At 40.8% G+C, this 26289-nt stretch overlaps 1 protein-coding gene across 9 annotated transcripts in view; it reads right to left on the bottom strand.

Annotated features, from left to right (window-relative positions):
• The window catches only part of ARHGAP44 (Rho GTPase activating protein 44), a 202146-nt gene that overhangs the window by 81958 nt on the left and 93899 nt on the right, over positions 1-26289 (bottom strand). For all 9 annotated transcript variants that reach the window (NR_135569.2, NM_001321167.2, NM_014859.6 and 6 more), the window contains exons 2-4: positions 14707-14746; positions 13175-13279; positions 713-789 (exon numbers count right to left, since the gene is read on the bottom strand). Coding sequence is in view for 7 of the 9 variants with exons in the window: in NM_001321167.2 (NP_001308096.1) it covers positions 713-789; positions 13175-13279; positions 14707-14746 (222 nt within the window). In the remaining 2 variants the exon portion in view is untranslated. The remainder of the gene's footprint in view (positions 1-712; positions 790-13174; positions 13280-14706; positions 14747-26289) is intronic.

Here is a 26289-nt window from a genome sequence, read left to right as displayed (position 1 = left end):
TTTAAGAATGCCTACCTCCTTATCTCTGCACTTCATTCCCTTCATTCTGGGTGGCGGCTCTACATCTGTTTTCAAGTTCAGCAATTATTTATTTGTGTATAATCTTGAGTTTCTTTTGACTAAAGATCATTGAAAATTTTCAGCATAATTTTGGAAAGTTCTCTTTGGTTTGCCTTCAATCCCGCCTATTCTTTTTTAATATTGTTTGATTCTCTTGTCAAGGATTCTGTTTTTTAATTTTAAAATTTCCATTTAAATAATTGTTATATTTTCTTCCATATAGTTCTATTATTTTTCGTTCTCAGGGTACTGACTCTTCTACTGATTGTGTCTGCTGATGCTCTCTCATGACGATTCTATTTTCAGTTTGTTTTGTTGTGAGCTCAACATCGGCAAAGGCTGCTTTTCTGAGAATCTCGTAAGTTCTGACATTTGAATTGACAGGTTTCATATTTGCTTCTGCTAGGGCCCTAGGGATTTCAATTGTCCTTCATCAGTTTCATGTTAATCTCTCCACTTGGGCCTTGCCTCACCGCACAGACAATATGACTTTAGAGCCAAGAGTTCTGATTTCCTACTGGTAACATTTTCCTTTTTTCCACTAAAGTCCCCAGTGAGAATTCAGGTGCTTCCCTGAGAGGGTCTAGTCCCCTTTTCACGGATGGGGACTTACTTAGATTTGGCACCAAACTCACGCAAGGTGTCACCTTACCCAAGAAGTGTGTCATCTCCCAGGATAGCTGACCCCTCCATCAGACACTGAGCCAGTGTTGTCAAAGGCAACTTTTTCTGAAAAGAAAGCAAATGCTGTAATGAAAGCTACTTTCCATATTCATCTGTTGAATCTAAAATAGCAAAAAGTCAAATACTTGCCAAGGTATTATATTAACTATGAAACAAGCTAACTTTAAAATAGGTTTAAACATAGAAATTCATAGTGCACCATGATGGGTTAGACTTAGAGATGTCAAAATTCAGAAAACGAGAACTGAATTATATTTGCCACTTTGGGAAATAAGCCTAAGGCTTACATGCTGCATTTTAAAATGAGGTAGGATGGCAAGAAGGAAAAATGAGAAAAATTTAAAATGATGTTAACAAAGATTTGAGCAATGCCTTAATTTCCAAAAATAATATGTCTCTTAAGGAGTGTATTAGCCTTATTTTAAAAATGAGGCAGTGGCTGGGCGTGGTGGCTCACACCTGTAATCCCAGCACTTTACATGAGGCAGAGGCCGAGGCGGGTGGATCACCTGAGGTCAGGAGTTCGAGACCGACCTGGCCAACATGGTGAAAGCCCGTCTCTACTAATAACATAAAAATTAACTGGGTGTGGTGGTGCATGCCTGTAATTCCAGCTACTTGGGAGGCTGAGGCAGCAGAATGGCTTGAACCCGGGAGGCAGAGGTTGCAGTGAGCCGAGATTGTGCCACTGCACTCCAGCCTGGGCCACAAGAGTGAAACTCCATCTCCAAAAAAAAAAAAAAAAAAAAAGAAATGAGGCAGCTATGGTCAAAAAAGAGACAGAAAAGTGTTCACATGCAATTATAACCCAGAAAGAGTAAGCATGAAAATAAAGACACACTCCAAAAAAGATAGATGGCCAAAGAGCACATGAAAAGATAATTAACCTCATTAGTCATTAGGAAAACCCCAATCAAGACCTCACTTTACACTCACTAAGATGGCTATAATAATATTAATGCTTAACAAAGCAAAAAAAAAATAAGGATTGGTGAGCATAAACCTTCATGCATTACTAGTAGATGTTTAAACTGGTGCAGCACTGTGAAGGTGTACTTAGTATCTCAATAAGTTAAGCAGAATTATCACATGGCACAGCAATTCCACTCCTGGGTATATATCCAAAGTAACTGAAAACAGATGTTCAAAAAAGAGGTACACAAATGTGAAGAGCAACACTATTCACAAAGGCCAAAAGGTGGGAACAACTCAAATGTCCACCAATGAATAAATGGACAGACAAAATGTGGTATATCCATAAAATGGAACATTATGCAGCCATGAAAAAGGGAATGCTGCATGGTACAACACAGATGAATCTTGAAGACATCATGCTAAGTGAAATAACCTAGACACAAAAGGACACATATTATATAAATCTATTTAATGAAATATCCAGAATAAGCAAATTCACAGAGACAGAAAGTAGATTAGTGCTTGTCACAGGGCTGCAGGGGTGAGTAAAATAGGGAAGGACTGCTTAATGGGTATGGGGTTCCCTTTGGGGATGATGGAAACGTTCTGGAACTAGATAATGGTGGTAAATAGACTAACTGTTAAAACCACTGTACACTTTTAAATGCTACATTTTATGTTACAGGGAGGGAGAGACAAGCTGTGATAGGAGTTTAGCATGATCCGTTCCCCAGGCTAAATATCAAAGAGCTCTCTCCTTTCTGAACTAAGACCAGCCAGTACACACAGACAGAACAAAAACAAGGTAAGAACCACTAGCACCTTCTCAGGTCTTCCAGTCTACGTAGCTACAAAGGTAGTTCTTCAAAAAGAAAGTGACTGAACTACACCCAGCCCAGAGCCTCCTGGTGTTAACACATAGAGCGTTTCCACTTATAATTCATTTACTAATCCAATATTTATGGAGGGCAGGCACCAAACCAGTGATAAACAAAACTAGACACTGCTCTCATAGAACATTTTTCTTTTCTCTTTTCTTCTTCTTTCCTTTTTTTCTGTTTTTTTTGTTTGTTTTGTTTTGTTTTTTGATACAAGGTCTGGCCCTATCTCCCAGGCTAGAGCACAGTGTTGCAATCATAGCTCACTGAAGCCTCGAGCTCCTAAGCCCAAGCAATCCTCCTGCCTCAGCTTCCCGAGCAGCTAGAACTACAGGCATGCACCCCCATGCCTGGCTAATTTTATTTCTAAATTTTTTGTAGAGATGGTGTCTCACTATGTTTCCCAAGCTGGTCTTGAACTCCTCGGCTCAAGCAATCCTCCTGCTTTGGCCTCCCAAAGTGCTGGGATTGCAGGTGTTAACCACCACACCCAGCCACAGAACTTACTTCTAATGGTGAAGATAAATAATAAACATCATCATACTTTGCCCTAAGTTTACTCTTTTCATCTGGCTGTTCATTTGTATCCTTTATAATATCCTAACTGATAAATACAACTAAAGTGTTTCCCTGAGTTCTTCGAGCCATTTTAGCAAATTATCAAACCTGAGGAGGGGAGTTGTGGGACCCCTAATTTATAGCTGGTTGTTGAGAAATACCAGAAGGCTGGATTTGCAATTGACATCTTAAGTAGGGGCAGTCTTGTAGGACTGAGCCCTTAACCTGCGGGATCTGACACCAACTCCAGGTATACAGTGTCAGAATAAATTGCAAGACATACACCTGGTGTTCAGAGAGTTGGGGAACTGCTTGGTGTGTGGAGAAAATCCCCCCACACATGTGGTCACAGAAGTGTTATGTAAGTGTAGACAAACAGAGTCTGTTTTTCAGAGAAGCAGGCATAATATTCCAGTTGTAGCCTCACAGAGAGGGCATAACTTAAGGTATTGGTTCTCAACCAGGGGTGATTTTTGTCCTCCTGGGGTCATTTGGCAACATCTGGAGACATTTCTGATTGGCACAGCATGGGAGATGCTATTGGCATCTGATGGGTAGAGGCCAGGGATGTTGCTAAACATCCTACAAGGCACAGAACAGTCTCCTCCAACAAAGAATTACTAGGCTCAAAATGGCAATAGTGCCATGGTTGAGAAACCTGGTTTGATCTGCAAGTGTCTACAATACCTCAGTGACAAGTCAGTGAAGATGCTTCGTCTTGAATGTCAGATGGTACGATCATAGTATTGATGAGCTCACATAAAAAGACCATTCTGGTTTGTGATAAACATTCACAGTCCCATGACCTGCCATCAGGACAAGACTTCAGCATTTCTGAATCTTTCTGAAATTGGACAAAGAAGAGAGGATTTGCCTATAGTAAAGGGGACTTCTGATAGTCCAAGAGTTGACATCCTTTGAAGAAATACATCTACCAGAAGGTAAGTAGAGTTTTTCCAAATATGGAAAAAGACTAGTCAGATTATCCTGTCAGTGAGTGGAGCAGAAAACTGTGCCCAAGGGGGACCAAATGAACGAAGGTCAAGATCAACAGGACAAGACCGGCCACTGGAGGAACATGAGGTTGATCGGACTTTTGGAGGGAGGATGGAGAGGGGACAGCCAGGCAACTGTTCTGCAAAGTGCAGACTGGAAAACACAGTTTGAAGCTATAGGGCTGGAGGCACCCTGCTCCTGAGCCAAGGAAGCTACATTTTCTCATCATTTTGAGTCATTTAACACCTGCACTAATGATTTTGACATCCTCTTAGGTAGCAGAGAGGACAGAATTAAGTGAATTCTTAAGGGATATGCTTTTTAATTTTAACAAGGAGCATAACCTCTCCCTCCTGCCCTATCTCATTCTCTATCATATCTATTATAGGAAAAGAATTAATTTGCCAGTAATCCCAGCACTTTGGGAGGCTGAGGCGGGCAGATCATGAGGTCAGGAGTTTGAGACCAGCCTGGCCAATATGGTGAAACCCCGTCTCTTCTAAAAATACAAAAAAAAAAAAAAAAATTAGCCAAGTGTGGTGGCACGCCCCTGTAGTCCCAGCTACTTGGGAGGCTGAGGCAGGAGAATTGCTAGAACCTGGGAGGCAGAGGTTGCAGTGAGCTGAGATTGTGCCACTGCACTTCAGCCTGGGTGACAGAGTGAGACTCCGTCTCAAAAATAAATAAATAAATAAAACTAAAAGATGCTAGAGGATTTATAGTAAAAAGTCCCTCCCACACTCACTCATCCCTCAACCACTTCATTCCCCTCACCAAAGACCCTAATAGTGACCAGATTTTGTGTATCCTTTCATAAATATTCTAAGCAGATTCAATTATACATACATGTGTGTGCGTCTACTTTTAGTATTTCTCCCCACGTTAGCATACTAAATATACACACCACTCTGTGCCTTGCTTTCCTTTTCACATAGAGATAGATACCTTTCATATCATTTCCTATCACTACCTATGGAACTGTCTTGTTCTTTTATTTTAATGGTTACACAGATCATTGAATGAAGATGACAAAATGTATTTACTCAAGTACCCTACCAATGGTGTAACTGTCACTCTAAGAGGAGAGATGTTAAGGTGAATTTGAGAGCTTGGATTCCAAGGTGGGGGTAAGCTGGTGAAAATCAACATGAGTTTTTATTTGTGTAAATGCTTTAAGAATCAAGAAATTGGCCGGGCACCGTGGCTCACGCCTGTAATCCCAGAGCTTTGGGAGGCCAACGTGGGCAGATCATGAGGTCAAGAGATTGAGACCATCCTGGCTAACATGGTGAAGCCCCATCTCTACTAAAAATACAAAAAATGAGCCAGGCATGGTGGCATGCACCTGTAATCCCAGCTACTCGGGAGGCTGAGGCAGGAGAATCGCTTGAACCTGGGAGGCAGAGGTTGCAGTGAGCCGAGATGGCACCACTGCACTCCAGCCTGGGTGACAGAACGAGACTGTCTCAAATTAAAAAGAAAAAAAACAAAAGAATCAAGAAATTACAAGGAAGCCACCAAATGACAAGAGAAAGGAAGAAATGCGTTAGCAACCCCATAATCAAAGACAGTACGTAAGAAGAAGTTAATGGACTGTAACGCACAACAGACTACAAATGATTTCTCTTTCTAAAAAGATTCTCTAAGGTGAAGGGACTTTATCTGCTCAAGAGATGCCAGGCATTGTAGCAATCTCATATAACCTAAGATTGCCTCTAACTAAGATACTGTTTGCTCTCTCCCTCAAACTTTGGTCGCCCCCATTTCAAGTATAATGATATCCAGTCTTCTACAGAGGCATAAGAATGATACAATGGACTCTGGGGACTCAGGGGAAAGGGTGGGAGGAGGGTGAGGGATAAAAGATTACACATTGGGTACAGTGTACACTACTCAGGTGATGGGTGCACCAAAATATCAGAAATCACCACTAAAGAACTTACTCATGTAACCAACACCACCTGTTCCCCAAAAACCTATTGAAATAAATTAATTAAAAATTTTTTAAAAGGATATCCAGTCTTAGAAGAATTAAATTGCTCAAAAATCTAGAAAAGCTCCCAAAATCTTTTTCCCTCCAGTACCAAGGATCCACACTGACAAAGCCAGTCCCAATCCCTGGTAAATATTAGTGCCCAGGTAAAAAGATCTTAGCAAACTTCATGCTGCCAGTGATTTTCAGAGCCAAAGAGGAGCTACTGAAATAATTTTTCTCCCTAGCTCTAGAATGCAGATAGAACCTTGAGAATTAAGGGAAGGAAAGACAGACTGTCCCAGAGTTTCGATATAGTCAATCTGACATTTCTGAGATGACTATTCTCTCTAAAACTATCTTGGGCACAAGCAACACAGTTTGTAGGATGACCCAGACAATAAGCCTCATTCTAATATCCACTCCATTCCTCCAAACACACACACACACACACACACACACACACACACACACACACACACTCTCTCTCTCTCTCCTCTCTCTCTCTCTCTCTCTCTCTCTCTCTCTCTCTCTCTCTCATATATTCCCTATCTTGGAAAATTCTTGTCTACTGTCCTCTAATTCCAGCCCCAGGCAACCAGCTCTTCTGTGGTTCAGCCCCAAACAGACACACAGCCAAGGCTTGATGCTTGGGTCTCAGTGGTTCTCAACAGCCACTCCAGTCTAATAGCGGGCCACTGCTAACAGCATCAGGTTACACTTCTTTAATATTTACTTAAGTTAACATTGCACAAGGCATGTACGTGCTTTACCTCACTGACCTCTCAAACAACCCTGCTGGGTAGGGAATTATTATGATTCTTACCATTTTCCAAATGAAGAAGCTAAGGCTTATGAGGTAATTAACTTGCCCAAGCTCAGGTTAAATTAGGAAGTGACAGAACTGGGCTTCACCCTTGGGTCGTCAGATTCCAGAGCTTAACCTCAGAATTGCCTGTTACAGAAAAGGAAGGGCATGCTAGTGTGGTAGGCAAGTTCTGTGCCTAAAATATTCACAGACCATCCATTCATGACACACATCTACTTGTACCATTGCCCTGCTGGGGCAGGCTCTTTTTTAGGCACGGAGAACGGAGCTTATGGGGACACAAGATCCCTGCTCCCATCACAATGATGGAAATAAATGATCACAGTGATTTCAGATACTAATATGTGCTATGAAGAAAATAAAATAGGGAGATGGGATTAGGGTGAGGGAGGAAGCAGACACATTAGGTGGTCAAGAAAGCCTCCTGAAAAGGTGACATCTGAGCTGAGAACCGAACAGGGTGCTGGCTTGAAATGCTGGGTAAGAGCATTCCCTGCGGAGGATAGAGCAAGCACAATGGCCCAAGAGGAGTGTGAGCTGGGCATGCTCAGTACCAGGTGAGCACAGCTGAAGAATGATGACAGAGGGGAAGGAAGCCCAGAGCTAAGCTCAGAGATGCAGGTAGAAGACACATCATAGTGTTCCAAGGGCCAAGATAAGGAGTTCAGATTTTATTCTACAAAGGGAATCCCGGAGCAGGATTAGGCAGGAGAGTGAGTTACTGGATTTCCAATTTAAACATTGGCTCCTGCGCTTGCAGAGAAGGGAAGAGGAAGGAGGAGGGAAGGGTTTGGGGTGGAAGATGTGATAGGAGCCACTGTGTTCAGAAAGAGCTGACAGCTGCTTAGACTAGGGTGGTAAATGTTGAAGCCAAATGGAAATTCTTTGGAGGAAGAGTCAGCAGGGCTTACTGACAGCCTGGACATGGCGGGTATGGAAAGGAAAGAATAAAGAATGGTGTCTGGGATTTAGAGGAGCAAGTGCGTGGATTTACAGTACCATTCTCTACTGCTCTGCCCTCTTTGCTGGGTCCTCCTCCTGGTAGAGCAGGAAATGCTGCAGTTCCCAGGGTTCCTGATTCAAAAGCCATATGTCTTCTCACCCTGCATTTTCTCCCCAGGTGATCACAGCAGCTCCCATGGATTCAACAGTCACTTGGGGTTGAGACCATGAGACCTCTCTCTCTTCTTCATACGCCCACATCCACTCAGTTACCAAGCCCTGATACTCTCCCTCCAGGATCTACCATGGACGCCGATTTTTCTCCATCTTCAGGTCCTCGTTGCATCTCACTGAAATTGTTCCCATCTCTGTGTAACTGGCCTCTCACTTCTACCATGGCCCCACCCATGAGTCCTTTATTCATACAATTTTGAACATATCTGATCATGTCTCCCTCTGTTAAAATGCTGGCTTTCCTCTGCTCTTAGGGATAAAGTCCAAACCCTCACCATGTCCTCCTGTAAGGCGTGATCCCATCCTCTGCAGTCCCGCCCCATGTCACGTCTTCCCCATTCGCTACAGTCTGGTCACTCTGGCCACCTTTATGTTTCTCAAAAATGCCAAACTTGGCCGGGTGTGGTGGCTCACACCTGTAATTCCAGCACTTTGGGAGGCTGAGGCAAGTAGATCACCTGAGGTCAGGAGTTTGATACCAGCCTGGCCAACATGGTGAAACCCTGTCTCTACTAAAAATACAAAAGTTAGCTGGGCATGGTGGCAGGTGCCTGTAATCTCAGCTACTTGGGAGGCTGAGGCAGGAGAATTGCTTGAACCCGGGAGGCAGAGGCTGCAGTGAGCCGAGATTGTACCATTGCACTCCAGCCTGGGTGACAAGAGCGAAACTCCATCTCAATTAAAAAAAAAAAAAAAAAAAAAAAGCCAAACTTTCTCCTGTCTCTCGGAACCTGGCACATCTTGTCCTCTTATCTGAGAAGTGTGTTTACCCCTTTTGGTGCTGCTACCTTTCACCTGTCCTTAACGGCCACTTCCTTATGGAAACCTCCCACCATTTAATTCCTAGCAAGCACTTCTTCTTGGCACTAAGACACGGTCTGAGCAGCGAATGCACTGTGAGTATGATGCTTGCCTCCCCCTGGGTGGTGAGCTTCTGCAGCACAGAAATCCTGCTCAGCTGGCTCAGCACTTGGCATACACACCGCCTTGCGTGGCAGACTTGTTGCTTTCTAAATATTTGCTGAATAAGGTGGAGAAACACTTCCACACGGTAGCACTTTATTTGTTGGGTATGACTTCCTAATGAGAAATGCAAGGACTTCAAAAAACTAAACATCTTCATTATATTAAGAGTCTCAAAAACCTAGGAACTAACCAGTTATTATCCAGGACTAAAGATGGCAACATGGAGGCCGGGTGTGGTGGCTCACGCCTGTAATCCCAACACTTTGGGAGGCTGAGGCGGGCAGATCATGGGTCAGGAGTTCAAGACCAGCCTGGCCAACATGGTGAAACCCCATCTCTACTAAAAATACCAAAATTATCTGGGCGTGGAGGTGGGCGTCTGTAATCTCAGCTACTCAGGAGGCTGAGGCAGGAGAATTGTTTGAACCCGGGAGGCAGAGGTTGCAGTGAGTCGAAATGGTGCCACTGCGCTCCAGCCTGGGCGACAGAGCAAGGCTCTGTCTCAAAAAAAAATAAAAATAAAAATAAAAAAAGATGGCAACATGGAAAGGTAATTCATATGCTTTCTATTCTTCATTCCACATAAGGAATCCAGTTTTACTCAGTACCCACAAGACAATAATGTTCTCTCTGGTCACTGAGATAATGGCAACAAAATCCGATTTTTATGCCTACCCACATCTGGCTGGCAGCCACAGCTTTCAGGGCAAAACTTTTAAAAGTGGTATGACAAAAGTTCAGGAGTTGGAACACATGACTAAAGAGCTACTGAGCTTGTTAAAAGAGAAATAACAAAAAGCAACTTACACGTACTCAAGTAGCAACTTACATGTGCTCAAGTAGCAACTTACATGTGCTCAAGCAGCAACTTACATGTGCTCAAATAAAAAGCAGAATATTGCATGGATCCCCATAAAGTCTCTCCTGATCCTGAGACTCTATGACCCACACTCCCGTGTGATTGTCCATCTCTGGACCCTCCCTTAACATTCAATTCCCGAGACAGTGTCTGTTCATTCACTCCCTCCCTCCCACCCCACCTTCCCTTTACCTGATCCTTTTCATTTTATTTCTTTTCCTTTTCACCCATTGCTCCGATCTTGACATATCTCCCTACTTAATCATCACAAAGAACTGGATATACATTTCAGTATTTGAGGTGATTTATAAGTGTCACGTTTCCTATTACATCTCTTAATGTGTTCAGAGAAAAACTGAAAAAAATTGAGTTTGGAAATTTTTTTCCCACAGTTCTTTGATTGTTTCCTATTTTAAATGGCTCTTTGACTTTCAGACCATTTATTCAGTCATATGATGACAAGCAAAGATGAATCAGCATAAGAAATCATTGACAAAATCAAGCACTTAAAATCCATGCAGTGAGGCTGGGCACAGTGGCTCACACCTGTAATCCCAGCACTTTGGGAGGCCTAGGTGGGCAGATCACGAGGTCAAGAGATCAAGACCATCCTGGCCAACATGGTGAAACCCTGTCTCTACTAAAAATACAAAAATTAGCTGGGCATGGTGGCGCACACCTGTAGTCCCAGCTACCCAGTAGGCTGAGGTGGGAGAATCACTTGAACCTGGGAGGTGGAGGTTGCAGTGAGCCGAGATTGCGCCACTGCACTCCAGCCTGGTGACAGAGTGAGACTCTGTCTCAAAATAAATAAATAAATAAATAAATAAATAAATCCATGCAGTGAAATCACTGACCTATACATGCTTGGGCACCTACTTCCACTGCGGACTTCTCCCAGTTTACACGTTTATCACTGCATGCATGTGACTGCAGCCTTCAGAGCCTGGTAACAACCACTGTGTGTCTTCTCTAGTAAGAGAAGCCAGATAGTGTACGTCCTCGCTGGTGAATCATGGCCAGTCATAGCAAACCCATTTATCTTGGACACATATTCACCTTCTCAGCCTCCCTTGCAGCTAGAGAAACATAAATGAAATGAATTCATGGTCTTATCAATCTCCCACTTCCTGCCTGTGATATGGTTATGTGAAGATGTGATGCGTGGAGCTGGAGCAGCCACATTACAGTTGTAAGTGGAGGCCCAAGCGTCACATAGCTGCTGACCCAAAGCTGCTGAATAAACCTTGGAACTGGCTACATCAGAATCTTGTTAAGTGAGGCAATTAAGTGCCTTTTTCTCAAGTCTCTAGGAAGCAGTGTAGTTATTAACCATGTGTTTTATTTTCTGTATTCAGATGCTCTGACAACATCTTGGGCCCTTGCTGACCCTAGAGGGACTGCCCCTCCCAGGCTAGGCAATTCCTAGAAATAGTAAACAACTCACTCACAGCATGCTTTTTAAATGCAAACCAATCTGGAGCTCACACTTCAACAACCTCCTCTAAGGGGCTGTCACACCGCAGGCCACTGTTCATCTGCCCTAATCACCCTTGACTGGTAGGTCAGACAACTAGAAATCGTCCGTAATAATTCAAACTAATCAATCCTATATCTGCTGCAGACACCACAACAAAGGCTCTGGCCCACAGTCCCCTCCTTTACCTCCTGACCAACCCTAGAGCTTCCCCTGTGGCCCTCTGGGTGATGTGGCCTGTCCCCTTCTCTTGGGGAGGGTGAATAATTATCTCTCCTTGGCAATCATCTCCTGATCTGCTGGCTTTGCCATACCTCAAATCTTCTATCAGTGCCCTATACTTCAGATCACTCAAGGATCCAAATGTATCCTTACTGATATAATACGTAAGACTCTCAATCCAATGAAAACTCCACCAATCCAGGTAAATTCATCTGATCCCAGAAAAATAATGTTAGTACTAATCCGCCTACCAACACCAAAGGCCGAATTCAAGCCTCTGGTGGTAGCATTCAGATGATACTCCCGATACCAAAACATACTGTACTTTGGACCAGTTATTTTAAAAATAGTGCTTCTTAGAGCAAAAAAAAAAAAAAAAAAAAGACACAGATCAAAGGCAGGCTTGGCTCCAGCACCCCCATCCGGAACCGTTCCTGGAGTCCCCCATTAGATGTGGGTTTGATAAAAGGGTTTCATGCCCAAAGTCATTTTGCAAACTCTCCCTTTAGACAGTTCCTCTTGCTGAATTCCTGATACATGCAGAATTATTTCTATAGATATTTTTCAGAGCTGTGAAAGTTTTATTTATACACACACAAATGATTCCTGCTGGGAATATTAAGAAAGAAGAAACCAGGGCTTGGAAAAAAAAAAAAAAAGAAATGACTCGTAGGACAAGTAGAGTGGGTTTTTGCACTGCGGCAGGAGCTGGGAAGAAGTATTGTGGCACATTACATGACAGTCCAACAGAAATGAGGCTAACATAAGCCGAGGGGCATCGGGGGACCAAGGGGATGCAGAAATCAGCAATAACTGCAAGTCAAAAAAAAAATGTCTAAATGATACCAATCATGTAGATTATAAACTCAAGGAAGGAGGAGAAAAACCTAGATTGTATATCCCTTGTAATAAAGCCAAGTGAATGTCTAAGAATATCTTTTAATCTTTGGTGGGGCTGAGAGGGATGGGGTCAAGAGGAAGGTAAACCTGCAGAGGCTGTTCATGCCAAGAACTGTTGAAATGGAATCGCATTATACAATGCCTGTTATTTCTAATGCAGGTTATAGACAAAGGCATTAGAGAAGCTTTATTTAGCAGGCTCTTTTTATTGTGTCTCATTAGGGCGAAAACAATTTTCAAGGGCCTTTATAGGTCACTTGTAACCTCTAAAACCACAATACACTTTTTTTCCATGAGATCTTAAGATACTATTGAGGCAAATGCAATCTATGAATGAGCTGAATCAGGGGTCAGATATCGATCAAGGATAAAGCTTCCCTAGAGGTGGGATCTCAAGCACGCCCCTGCCGTCTTCCCAGTTGCTCCAAGCTGGGGAGGACAGGGAGAGGACCTCAACTTGCCTGTGGAGGGCGGGGGATGCTTCAGGCTGGGCTAAAGAGCAAGAACAGTAGGGAGGGTCATTACCCCACAGAAAACAGAAAATAGGCAGCTAGAGCTGCTGAGTCAATTCTCAGGCACGTAAGCAGCTACATAAACAGCTACATCCAGGAGTGTCACAGGAGTAGGAACCTTGTCCTCAGTAGGCAAGATTTCAGCTCCCCAGGGCTGGGAGGGCACTTACGGAGCGCTTGTCAGCCTCTGCCCCTTGCTGGCCCTGCAGACATGCGGTGAGCTTCTTGTGCGTGCTGTGGGACACCTGTTTCACCAGCTCCAGACGCTTCTCCACCTGCAGAGAGAAGAGCGGGTGGTGCCACTGAGAGAGGGCAAGGTCAGGGGAGGAGGGATTGTGGGTGTGGACAATCACAACTCATGTTTCCATGGAGACAAGGACTCCTGGAGAGACAGCTTTGTTTTTTTGTTTGTTTGTTTTTTAAATTATACTTTAAGTTCTAAGGTACGTGTGCACAATGTGTAGGTTTGTTACATATGTATACACGTGCCATCTTGGTGTGCTGCACCCATTAACTCGTCATTTACATTAGATATATCTCCTAATGCTATCCCTCCCCCTCCCCCCTCCCCCTATCCCATGACAGGCCCTGGTGTGTGATGTTCCCCAGCCTGTGTCCAAGTGTTCTCATTGTTCAATTCCCACCTATGAGTGAGAACATGTGGTGTTTGATTTTCTGTCCTTGCAATAGTTTGCTCAGAATGATGGTTTCCAGCTTCATGCATGTCCCTACAAAGGACATGAACTCATCCTTTTCTTATGGCTGCATAGTATTCCATGGCTTACATGTGCCACATTTTCTTAATCCAGTCTATCATTGATGGACATTTGGGTTGGTTCCAAGTCTTTGCTATTGTGAATAGTGCCACAATAAACATACGTGTGCATGTGTCTTTATAGCAGCATGATTTATAATCCTTTGGGTATATACCCAGTAATGGGATGGCTGGGTCAAATGGTATTTCTAGTTCTGATCCTTGAGGAATCACCACACTGTCTTCCACAATGGTTGAACTAGTTTACAGTCCCACCAACAGCATAAAAGTGTTCCTATTTTCCACATCCTCTCCAGCACCTGTTGTTTCCTGACTTTTTAATGATTACCATTCTAACAAAGAAACAAATTTACAAGAAAAAATCAAACAACCCCATCAAAAAGTGGGTGACAGATATGAACAGACACTTCTCAAAAGAAGACATTTATGCAGCCAACAGACACATGAAAAAATGCTCATCATCACTGGTCACCAGAGAAATGCAAATCAAAACTGCAATGAGAGACAGCTTTCAATGCTGGAGAACTGGAGGGGCAGTGATCACAGACTCCAGGACCCTCGGGCTAACTGTGGTGAAATGACTTTAAACCTCTCCTGAAAGAGCTTAACCCAAATCAGTATTCATCATGCAAAGTACTGTCGTAAAAGACAAAAAAACTTCTCTCCTAACAGTTCGTAAGGAGCAGCTGGAGCAGTTTTAACCACATCGAGGGATGGCTTAGTTTTTTGGTTTTTTTGGTTGTTTGTTTTTTTATTTGTTTGTTTTTTGTTTGTTTTGAGACAGAGTCTCGCTGTATCGCCAGGCTGGAGTGTAGTGGCACGATCCCGGCTAACTACAACCTCCACCTCCTGGGTTCAAGCAATTCTCCTGCCTCAGCCTCCCATATATCTCTGGTATCTGTGAGCCAGTGTCAATGGCCGCCTTACCTGAAGAAGGTCTTCACTCAAAACTTCTGTCTTTTCAGCCCTAAAAAGAACATTGAGAAACATATCAGTAACAAAACTAACAACAGAGCCTCATAATTACTCCCTAATCTCTTCAATTAAGGCAATACCAGAAAAACAGAGACATGAGTAGTAGAAACATTTAATAAGAGAATAGAGAAAACTAGAATTTATTAGGAAACTTAAAAAACCAACACACCAGCAAACACAGCAAAGCAGATACCCTGAAGACTCTCCTGCTACAGATTGGAACCTGGATTCATGACAACAAATGTATGCCTTTGTTTCCAGATATGTATATATTTTAAGTATCAGAATTAAGGTTTCCCCACCCATAACGCTTGGCCTCCCCCAAATAAGTAAGCTAATGTAGCAGAAATCTGAGAAAGGATCAATTAACAACAAACACAGAGACAGTATTGAATCTTGGCAACTAATGCAAATGCCACCACCACGGTCTGGCAACCAAGTGTTATGTCCACAAGAAAGTGGAGGGCTTGAACCTGAAACTTCTACATTTAGAGAAAGAACCTGGATGCTGGAGGAACTGGTCCCAGCTAACCCATTAGCACTGCCTGCCTCATGTCAGAGAAGAGTGCCAATTCTCTCAGGAACAAAGCATTCTGATTTAACGCTCTCTCTCTCTCTCTCTCCCCCTCTCTTTCTCACTCTCTCTTTATCTGACAACACGCACGCACGTGCACACACACACACACACACTCTCTCTCTCTCTCACACACACACACACAAACACAGCAAATTCACATGAAAACAAATCATCAAGATTTAAGAGTACAGAGAAAGAAGAAACAACATACAAGAAGTCTAAAGAATTTCGACTATTGCAATGATCAAAGACTATAATACATGTATAAAATATCAAAGAACAAATGATATATTAAAAAATAAGCAGTAGGACTTCTGCTTCCAGGAGGAAGGAGTGAATGTATTTTAGCAATTCTCCTCACTCACACAACTAAAAACCTAGGATTGTTTAGAAACGTAAGACCCTGAAAAGGAGAAGGAAGGCATACTGGCTGGGAACCTTCAGAATAACATGGTAAAAGTGTTGTCCTTCACATTTCTCAGACTTGGAGCTTAAGAACAACAGCAACACCTAAAACACCAAGAGGCTCAGACAAAACAAACCCCAACAAAAGCCTGGTCTCTGTAGACAAAGGACAAAGAAAGGAGCAGCCTAGAAAGACAGACACTTTTTAGAAAACTGCTCACTGCAGCCAACACCACAGAAAAGAACTGTGTCCTACTCCACCCAAGCCAGCAAAAGCTGAGTAGGGAGCCCTGACTTCTACTCCTACCAGGCTGTAACAACCACCCAAGCCCGTACCCCTCATCAGTGTGGGAGCATCAGAGAACACTGAGAAACATAAAGAGAACATCCATCTAGGGAGTGGAAGCGTCTATCACTACTAGGCAACTGACAAAGCCCATCCTCCTCTGCTGCAGGACCAGTGGAAATCATATGGTCACCTGGACACCCACGCCCATGTGGTGATAACGAAGCATCTCTTCACCTTCCCATTGGTGTGGTGTCAAAGGAGTCCTAGTGGACAGACAGGACTCTTGCCAACACCCAGCAGTAACAAGGCTGCTCCCTTCTGCAGTATTAGTGAAAGCCAAGTAGGGAGCAATAATGAGACACTCATAACCCCACTCCCACCAGCCACTGAGGTATCAGTGGAGGCCCAGTAGAGAACCAGAACTCCCACACCCACCAAGTATTAACAAGAAGAACCTCCATCTTCGAAGGGTCAATGAAGGCCAGCCAAGTGGGGAATCTGGACTTCTACCCCAGCTCATCAGAAACAAAGCACTAGAAACTGCTCCCCCCACTAGAGCAGCATCAGAGAAAGCTGGCTACAAGACAAAGTTTAAATGAGATCCAGAGTCACATAATATAACAGCCATAATATCCAGATTTCAGTTACTCATCACACCAAGAAGCAGAAAAAAAAACTCAAACTGAAAGAAAAAAAGACAATAGATTCCAATTAAAGTATTCATTATGAAAATGCTTCAACGTGTAGTAATAAACACTTTTGAAATAAATGAAATAGGAAGTCTCAGAAAGAAAATAGAAGATATAAAGAAGAAACAAAAATTTTAGATCTGAAAAATACAACAATCTAATTGACAAAAAAAAAAAACTCAGTTGATGGGTTCAACAGCAGAACAGAGCGGGCAGATGAAAGAATCAGTGAACTGGAGGAAGCATAACAGCAATTTTCCAATCTGAACAACAGGGCAAAAATAGACCAAACAAATCAACAAACAAAAAAACCCTCAGGGACCTGTGGGGCTATAACAAAAGATCAAATATTTTATGTCATCAGAGTCCCAGAAGAAGAAGGGAAAAAATGGTAGCTATATTAGACTAAGTTGGCCACAATAAAAAAGTTAAAAAAAGATAGGCTAAAAAATACTCAGAGAAATAATGGCTAAAAATGTCCCAAATGTGGCACAAGACACAAACCTACATATTTAAAAAGCTGAACAAACCCCAAAGAGGATAAACATAAAGAAATCCTCACCAAGACACATCATGGTCAAACTTCTAAGAACTAAAGACAAATCTTGAAACCAAGGTGAAAGAAATGATACCTTAACAATGGGGGAAAAGCAATTAGAATGACAGCAGATTTCTCAAGAAAAATGGAGACTAAAAGAAAGTGGCACATCATTTTTCCAGGGTTGAAAGAAAGAAACTGTCAACCTAGAACCCTTTAGCTAATGAAAATATTCTTCAGAAATGAAGGGGAGATCAAGACAATCTCAGATATACAAAAGTTGACAAAATTTGTCATCAGCAGGCTTCTTATTGCTAAAGAAAGTTATCTAAAAACAACCCAAAGGCTGGGCACAGTGGCTCACGCCTGCAATCCCAGCACTTTGGGATGCCAAGGCGGGTGGATCACCTGCAGTCAGAAGTTCGAGACCAGCCTGGCCAACATGGCCATCTCTGCTAAAAATACAAAAAATTAGCCGGGCGTGGTGGTGCGCACCTGCAATCCCAGCTACTGAGGAGGCTGAGGCAGGAGAATCGCTTGAACCTGGGGAGGCAGAGGTTGCAGTGAGCCGACATCATGCCACTGCACTCCAGCCTAGGTGACAAGAGTGAGACTCCATCTAAAAAAAAAAAAAACCCCAAAAATGATAAAAGAAGGAAACTTGAAATACCAAGGATGGAGGAAGCTATCACTTAAACCGGTAAAATAATGATAGCAGCAGACTATGATAAGTTATGTAAATAGTAGGTAACACCTAGAGCCATCTCAACTATACTCCTGTGGTTTGGATGTGTTCCTCAAAGTTCACATGTTGAAAACTTGATCTCCAATGCAGCAGTGCTGAAAGGTGAAGCCTAAGAGGAGGTATATGGGTAAGGGGACACAACCCTCAATGAATTAATGCTGTCACTGTGGGAGTGTGTTCATTATCATGAGGGTGGGTTTCTTATAAAAGGACAACGTGAGCTCCCTCTTGCTCTCTCCTGCCCATGTGATGACTTCCATCATGTTACAATGTAGCAAGAAGGACCTTGCCAGACGCTAGCTCCTCCATCTCAAACTTCCCAGCCTTCAGAACTGCGGCCAATAAATTTTTGTTTATTATAAATTAGAGACCATAGTATTCATTTATGGCAGCACAAAGACAATTGGTACCAGAGAGTGAGGTACTGCTATAACAAATACCTACAATTGTGGAAGCAGCTTTGGAACTGGATAGTGGAGACTAGACGAGTCTGGAAGAGCAGGCTAGAAAAAGGCTGCATTGCTGTGAACAAAGAGTTAAAGGTGATTCTGGTGAGGGCTCAGAAGAGAAGAGCTGTATGAAGGGTAAAACTTCTTAGAGGTTACTTAGATATTAATGATCACAATGTGGGCAGAAATATGGACAGTAAAGACCACTCTGATGAGGTCTTACATGAGAATGAAAAATATCTTATTAGAAACTGAAGTCAAGTCCATCCTTCCTATAAAGTTATACAGAACTTGACTGAACTATGTCCATCCCCAAGGGTTTTAATGAAGACAGAAATTAAGAGTGATGAACTAGGATACATGGTGGAAGAAATTTCTAAGCAAAATATGGAAGAATCTGCATGGCTTCCTTTAACTGCATACAGTAAGATGCAAGAGGAGAGAAAATATTTAAAGGTGGAATTTATGATTAAAAGAGAAGCAGAATGTAACCATCTGGAAAATTCACAGCCTGGCCACGTAAAACACAAAAATGTGCCAAGTGTCCCCTTTGAGAAAAGGCTTAGCATGGATAGCAGGAAGCCAGGTGCTATTCATCAAGGCAATGAGAGAATTACCTCCAAGATATTTCAGAGATCTTTGAGGCTGCTCCTCCCATTACAGGCTCAGAGCTCTAGGAGGGGAGAATGGTTTCATCAGACTAGCCCAAGATGCCTTCCATGGGTTCACTGCCCAAGGACTCTGTTCCCTGCATTCCAGTGCAGAGCTCCTTGGCTGCCCCAGCCATTACTCAAGTAACCCCAAGTGTAGTCTGGGCTGCTGCTCTCCAGAGGGCATAAGTGGTAAGCTTGGTGGCATCCATATAATGCTAACTCTGCTGGTGCACAGAGTTCATAAGCTGTGGAGGTATACATTTTTGGAGACAGGGGTACAAAACTACCTCCACCTAGATTTCAAAGGATGTATCAGACAGCCTAGGGATCCAGGCACAGACATGTCACAAGAGACATGTCACAAGAGTGGAACCACCACAGAGAGAGTCTATTAGGGTGATGCCCAGCAGAACTGTGGGGACAAAGCCACTGTAGAGAGTACTCACTAAGGCAATGCCTAGTGGAGCCATGGGGACAGGGCTGCCCCCAAACCCCAGAACTGTAGAGCTACCAGCACATAGCCCCAGCCTGAGAAAACTGCCACACCCAGCAAAACCATGAAAACAGGACTGCCCAAGGCTTTGAGGTCAAAACCTCCACCCCAGTATGCTCAAAAGTTACACATGGAGTAAAAATGATTCTCTAGCTTTAAGATTTAACATTTTCCCTATTGGATTTTGGACTTAGTTGGAACCAGTTATCCCTTTATTCTTGCCTATTTCTCTCTTTTGAGATAGGAACATCTATCCCATGTCTTTCCCTCCACTGCATTTTAAGGTAGATTACTTGTTTCGATTTCACAATCTCACAGCTAGAAGAAGTTTGCCTCAGGAAGAATTGTACCTTGAATCTCATCAATATCTGATCTAGATGAGATTCTGGACTTTTGAGGTGGTATTGGAACCAGTTAAGATTCTGGGGCTATTGAGATGGAGCAAATGCATTTTTCATGTGAAGACATGAATTTTGGGGGTCAGAGGCAGAATGCTAAAAGCTGAATATGTCTCCTGAAGTTCCTGTGTTGGAAACCGGATCCCCAATGCAGTGGTGTTGAGAAGTGGGATCTAATGGGAAGTGTTCAGATTAATGCTGTTATTGTGGGAGTGGGTTCATTGTCACAGATGTGGGTTTCTTATAAAAGGACAAGGTTGGCCCCCTCTTGCTCTCTCACCCATGTGTTCCCTTCTGCCATGTTATAATGTTTCAAGAAGGCCTTCACCAGATGCTAGCCCCTTGTTGGACTTCCCAGCCTCCAGGACTCTGAGAAAATAAAATTTCAGCTTCTTATAAATTACTCAGAATGTGGCATTCTGTTAGAGCACAAAATGGAACAAGACAAACACAAGAAATACATCAATGGAATTCTCAAAAATGATAAATTAACCCATAGGAATACAAGAAAACAAGAAATGAATACAAGAAAGAAGAAAGGAATACAAGCAATGAAAAACAGAAAGAACAGAAAACAAAAAATAAACAAAAATGGCAGATTTATGTTTAACATGTCTATAATTACATTAAATGTAACCAGCCTAAACACACCAATTAAAAGACAAGAACTAGAAGAATGGATTTAAAAATATGGTGTCTACAAGAATCTCATTTCAAATAAATTATACAGGCAGCTTAAAAATAAAAAATTGGAAAAGACATAATGGAAGCACTGATCCAAAAAGGCAGAAGTATCTATATTAATGTCACATAAAGACAATTTCAGAACAAAGAAAATTACCAGAGATAAAGGGGAGCATGAAATAATGACAAAAGGGTCAAGCCACTAAGACACAACAATCCTAAGTGTATATCCACCAAAAAACAGAGCTGTAAAATATATGAAGCAAAAAACTGATACAATGAAAAGAAGAAATAGACAAATACACAACTATAGTTGGAAACTTCAACACCTTCTCTCTCAATAATTAATAGAACTAAATTTTAAAAATCAGCAACAATATATAAAAAACACAACACCTCCATTAACCAATAAGATCTAATTGATACTTACAGAACACTCCACCCAACATGAGCAGAATATATGTTATTTTCCAGTTTCCACGGAACATATACCAAGATAGACAGCATCTGGAACTACAAAACAAACCTCAACTAATTTGAAAGAATGAAAGTCATATGCAGTTTGTTCCGTGACCACAATGGAATCAAATGAGAAATCAGTAACAGCAGCATAAGAAGAAAATTTTCAAATACGTGGAAACTAAACAACTTTTAAATAATCCATGGAGGGTCTCAAGGCAGATGTTTAAAAATTAAACTGAATGAAATAAAAACATAACATGTAAAAATGTTGGGCACAACCAAAGTTGTGCTGGGAAAAAAATTATAGCATTAAATCTATACATTAGAAAAGAATAGTTCCAAGTCAATAAAAGATCCTACTCCAACAACCTAGAAAAAAGACCAAATAAAGTCCAAAGCAAGCAGGAAGAAGGAAATTATAGCATAAGGGAAGAAAATAATGACTTTAACAACAACAACACAACAACAAAAACTAAAGAAACTCAAAGAGCGAGTTCTTTGAAAAGATCAATAAAGTTTAAAAAATCTCTAGCAAGACTGAAAAGAACATTATCAACAATAGGAATGAAGCAGGGAATATCATTAACATACCCTGCAGAAATCAAAAGGATGCCTTTGAAAAACCTACACACACAAATTTGACAACTTAGATGAAATGGACAAATTCCTAAAAAAAAAAAAAACAAAAATGATTGCAATACACATAATATGAAATAGATCATTTGAATATTCTCTATAGCTATAAAAATTTGAATTTGTACTTTAAAAACTTCCCTGCAAAAATCTTCAGGCCCAGAAGATTTCATTAGATAATTCTACCAAATGTTTTAAAAAGAAATATCACCTATTCTAAACAATCTCTTCCAGAAAATGAAAGAAGGAACGCTTCTCAATTCATTTTATGAATCTAATACTACTTTGATATCAAAACATGACCAAAAAAATAATTATAGACCAATATTCCTCTATGAATATGGGTGTAAAAGTCCTTAACAAAATAAAAGTAAATAGGCTGGGCATGGTCACTGACGTCTGTAATCCCAACACTTCGGGAGGCCAAGGTGGAGGATCACTTGAGGATAGGAGTTTGAGACCAGCCTGGACAACATAATAAAACCCCAACTTTACAAAAACAAAAGGAGAGAGAGAAAAAATTAGCCAGGCATGGTAGTACATGCCTGTAGTCCTAGCCACTCGGGTGGCTGAGGTGGGAGGATCGCTGGAGCCCAGGAGGTCAAGGTTCAATGTGAGCCATGATCACTCCTTTGTACTCCAGCCTGGAGAGCAGAGCAAGGCCCTGTCAATCAGTCAATCAATCTATCAGTCAATGCAAATGTAATTCAGCAATGTATAAAAATAATTTTTCATTATGTATGACTAATTCACCATTATGAATAACAAACCAAGTGGGATTTATTCCAAGGATAAAAAGTTGGTTCAACATTCAAATATCAATCAGTGTAATCCACTCACTGTATTAAAAGAGTAAGGAAGAAAAACCACACGATCATAGCAATTAATGTAGAAAAAGCATTTAACAAGATTCAAAACCCATTCATGGTAAAAAAAAAAAACAAAAAAAAAACTCTTAGAAAACTAGGAGTAGAGGGAAACTTCCTCAACTTCATAAATAACATATATGAAAAAATCTATACTTTTGAAAGACTACATGCTTTCCTCCAAAACAGGAATCAAGGCAAGTGCATTTGCTCCTACCACTCATTCATCATGGTCCTGGAAGTTTAAGTTAGTGTAATATGACAAGAAAAGAAAAAAAGCATGTAGATATAAGAGGGACAAATAAAAATGTCTCCATTTGCAGATGATATAATAGTCTATGTAGAAAATGCCAAGGAACCTATAAAAAAATTCGTAGAACTAATGGTTTCTGCAAGATTGCATATGAGATAAACATACAAAAATAAATTGTACATACTAATAATGAACACATGAATACTGAAATAAAAAATACCACTGACAGTTTCTTAAAAAAACACTTAGGTGTTAATCCATTAAAACATGTACAGAATGTATAGGCAGAAAGCTAAAAAATGCTTATGAAATAAATAAAAGCAAATCTAAATAGAGAGAAAAAGCATGTCTGTGGTATTTGTATCTGGCAAAGATATCACTTCTCCCCAAACTGATCACAGATTAAATGCAATCCCAATCAAAATCTTAATAAGATTTATTATAGTTACAGACAAATTGATTCTAAAATTGATACGAAAGTACAAAGGAAATAGTTAAAATTTTCTAGAAAGAAAAGCAGGACTCACATGATCCAATGTTAAGATTTAGTATAAAATTAAGTAGTCAATCAAGAGAGTACGGTCTTGGCAAAAATAAAGAAACCCAGATCAGTGGAAAAGAATAAAAGTACAAAAAGTAGACCTAGACAAATATGATCAGTGGTCTCTAAAAAAGGCACAAAGGCAATTCAATGGAGGAAGGATAGTCTAACAAATTGCTACAGAATACATAAATAGGCAAAACTATGAACCCTGGCCCATTTGTACATAATTCACAAAAATTAATTTATAATAGATCACACACTTCAATTAAAAAAAGTTATAAAATATTTACAGGAAACATAGAAGAAAATATCTGTGACCTTGCTTTAGACAATGGATTCTTAGAACATCAAAACCATGATTCATAAAAGAAAAAAAATGATACATTAGACTTCTTCAAAACTAAAAGCTTTTGTTCTGTGAAAGACACTGTTAAAAGATGAAAAGATAACTCAGAAAAAGAGAGAAATTATTTGTAACTCACATATATAAGAATTGTATACAGAACATGCAAAGAACTCTGAAACTTAACAATAAGAAAAAAAATCCTATTTAAAATGGGCTAGAAATCAGAATAAAAACTTAACCAATGAAGACAGATAAGCAGAAAATAAGCACAGAAAAGATGGTTCAACATTATTAGCCCTTAAGACAATGTAAATTAAGAGCAAAATGAGATACTAGTATTTGAGTGACAACACACACACACACAAACACACACTCACACACACATCAAGTTCTTGACCATATGGAATAACTGGAACTCTCACACATTGCTAGGAGTTGGGCACAGCAAAATGGTACAGCCGATGTAGAAAACACTTTGGCAGTTTGTCATAAACTTGAACATACACTTGCCATATGACCCAGCAGAGCCACTCTAGAGAAAAGAACATTTATGTTACACACACACACACACACACACACACACCTACTCTGTGAATGTCCATAGAGCTTTATTTGTAATACTAAAAATCTGGAAGCAACTCAAATGCCCTTCAACAGGTGAATGGATAAACTAGAGAATAGGTGCATATGACAGAATATGCTCAGCAGGTGCTGGGTGCGATGGCTCACGCCTGTAATCCCAGCACTTTGGGAGGCCGAGGAGGGCAGATCACGAGGTCAGGAGTTCGAGACCAACCTGGCCAATATGGTGAAACCCCATCTCTACTAAAAATACAAAAATTAGCTGGATGTGGTTGTGGGTGCCTGTAGTCCCAGCTACTCAGGAGGCTGAGGCAGAAGAATCGCTTGAACCCAGGAGGTGGAGGTTGCAGTGAGCTGAGATCACACCATGGCACTCCAGCCTGGGTGACACAGCGAGACTCCATCTCAAAAACAAACAAACAAACAAACAAAAAATGCTTAGCAAGATATAGGAATGGACCACTCATACATGCTACAACATGGATAGATGTCAAACCATTACGCTCAGTGTAAAAAGCCAGTCCCCAAAGGCCTCATACATACTGAATGATTTCATTTATAAGGCACCCTGGAAAAGCTAAGTCATAGGGACGGAAAGCAGCGCAGTGGGTGATGTAGATGGGGGTGGGGAAGGTTTGACTGCAAAGATGCCGCATGAGGGAACTTTTTGAGGTAACAGAATTGTTCTGTAATTCGTTTGTGGTGGAGGTTACATAAATCTATGTCTGTGTTAAAACAAATAAGAGTCTACAAAAAAGTAAATTTTACTTCATGTAAATTTTAAAAGTAAAAAAGAAACTTTGAAGATGGAACTGAGATACAAGACAACAATATCATGTGAATCAAGAAGGTGAAGTGGTTGAAGTTAAGTGTTCTAAGCTCTTAGCAGATTTTGTTAAACTAAAATGTAATAAACATTACAAGGGTACCACTGAAAGAGTAGAAATAGAGTATATATCTTCCAAAGTAACAGACAATATAATAAAAAGTTAATGATTGAAAACAAAAAATGGTGCTGCATAAAGCAATATAGAAAAAATAGCACAAAGTAAAATAGTAAACACAGACTCAAATATATCACAAAACATACATAAACTAAATATTCTAGTTAAAAGCAAAAGATGCTCAGCTCAGATACAAAAAATCTAGCTCTGTGCTAATAATAAAAAGCTGTATCTAAAACACAAACAATCAGGGAGATCAAAAGAGAAATAAAAACATATACCAGCCTATTTCAAACTAATCTAATAGACTTTGAGGGAGAAAAAAAACATTATGAAAGAAAGAGGACAGCAATATAATGTTAGAAAACTTTAACTCATCAAGAAGTTACGAGAATTCTGAATTTGGTGGTACCTGATACGAATCACACAATATAAAAATCAAACTGACAGAAACTCAGGGAAGCCTTGGAAATTTTGCCACAATAGATGTCATTATTCCTCTTTCAGTTAGAGAAGTAAGGCAGAAAAAAAGTGGACATAGAGGATTTGAAAAGGATAAGATAGCAAGATTTATTAGATTGATTTATGCACACAATAATTTATTTTCAAAGATTAACCACTTGTAAGTCTGTAAAGCACATCTCAACAAATATCAAAGGTCAGAAGTCACAAAGATGATGTTCTCTGACCCCAGTGTAATTTAAATTCAAATAAATAACAAGTTTAACAGCAAACAAATCTGGGATCTTGTAAACACTTCTAAATCGATAACAGGTCAAAAAGAATTACTGTTAGGAATTTAAAATATTTAGAGTTGAAAGACAATGAAAATACTGTATATCAAATTTGTTCGGTAGCAAAATGATATTTAGAAAAAATACAGAAACTCAATTTCTTAGAAGAGAAGCTGAAAATATTTAAGAAGCTGAAAATATTTAAGAAAATATTTAAGAAGTAAACAGAATAAACTTCAATAAATTAGAAG

This window comes from Homo sapiens, chromosome 17 (assembly GCF_000001405.40).
Source record: "Homo sapiens chromosome 17, GRCh38.p14 Primary Assembly".
NCBI classification, from domain to species: Eukaryota; Metazoa; Chordata; class Mammalia; order Primates; family Hominidae; genus Homo; species Homo sapiens.
The sequence above is the reverse complement of the archived record's forward strand: the minus strand, read 5'-3'. Positions and strand labels throughout refer to the sequence as shown.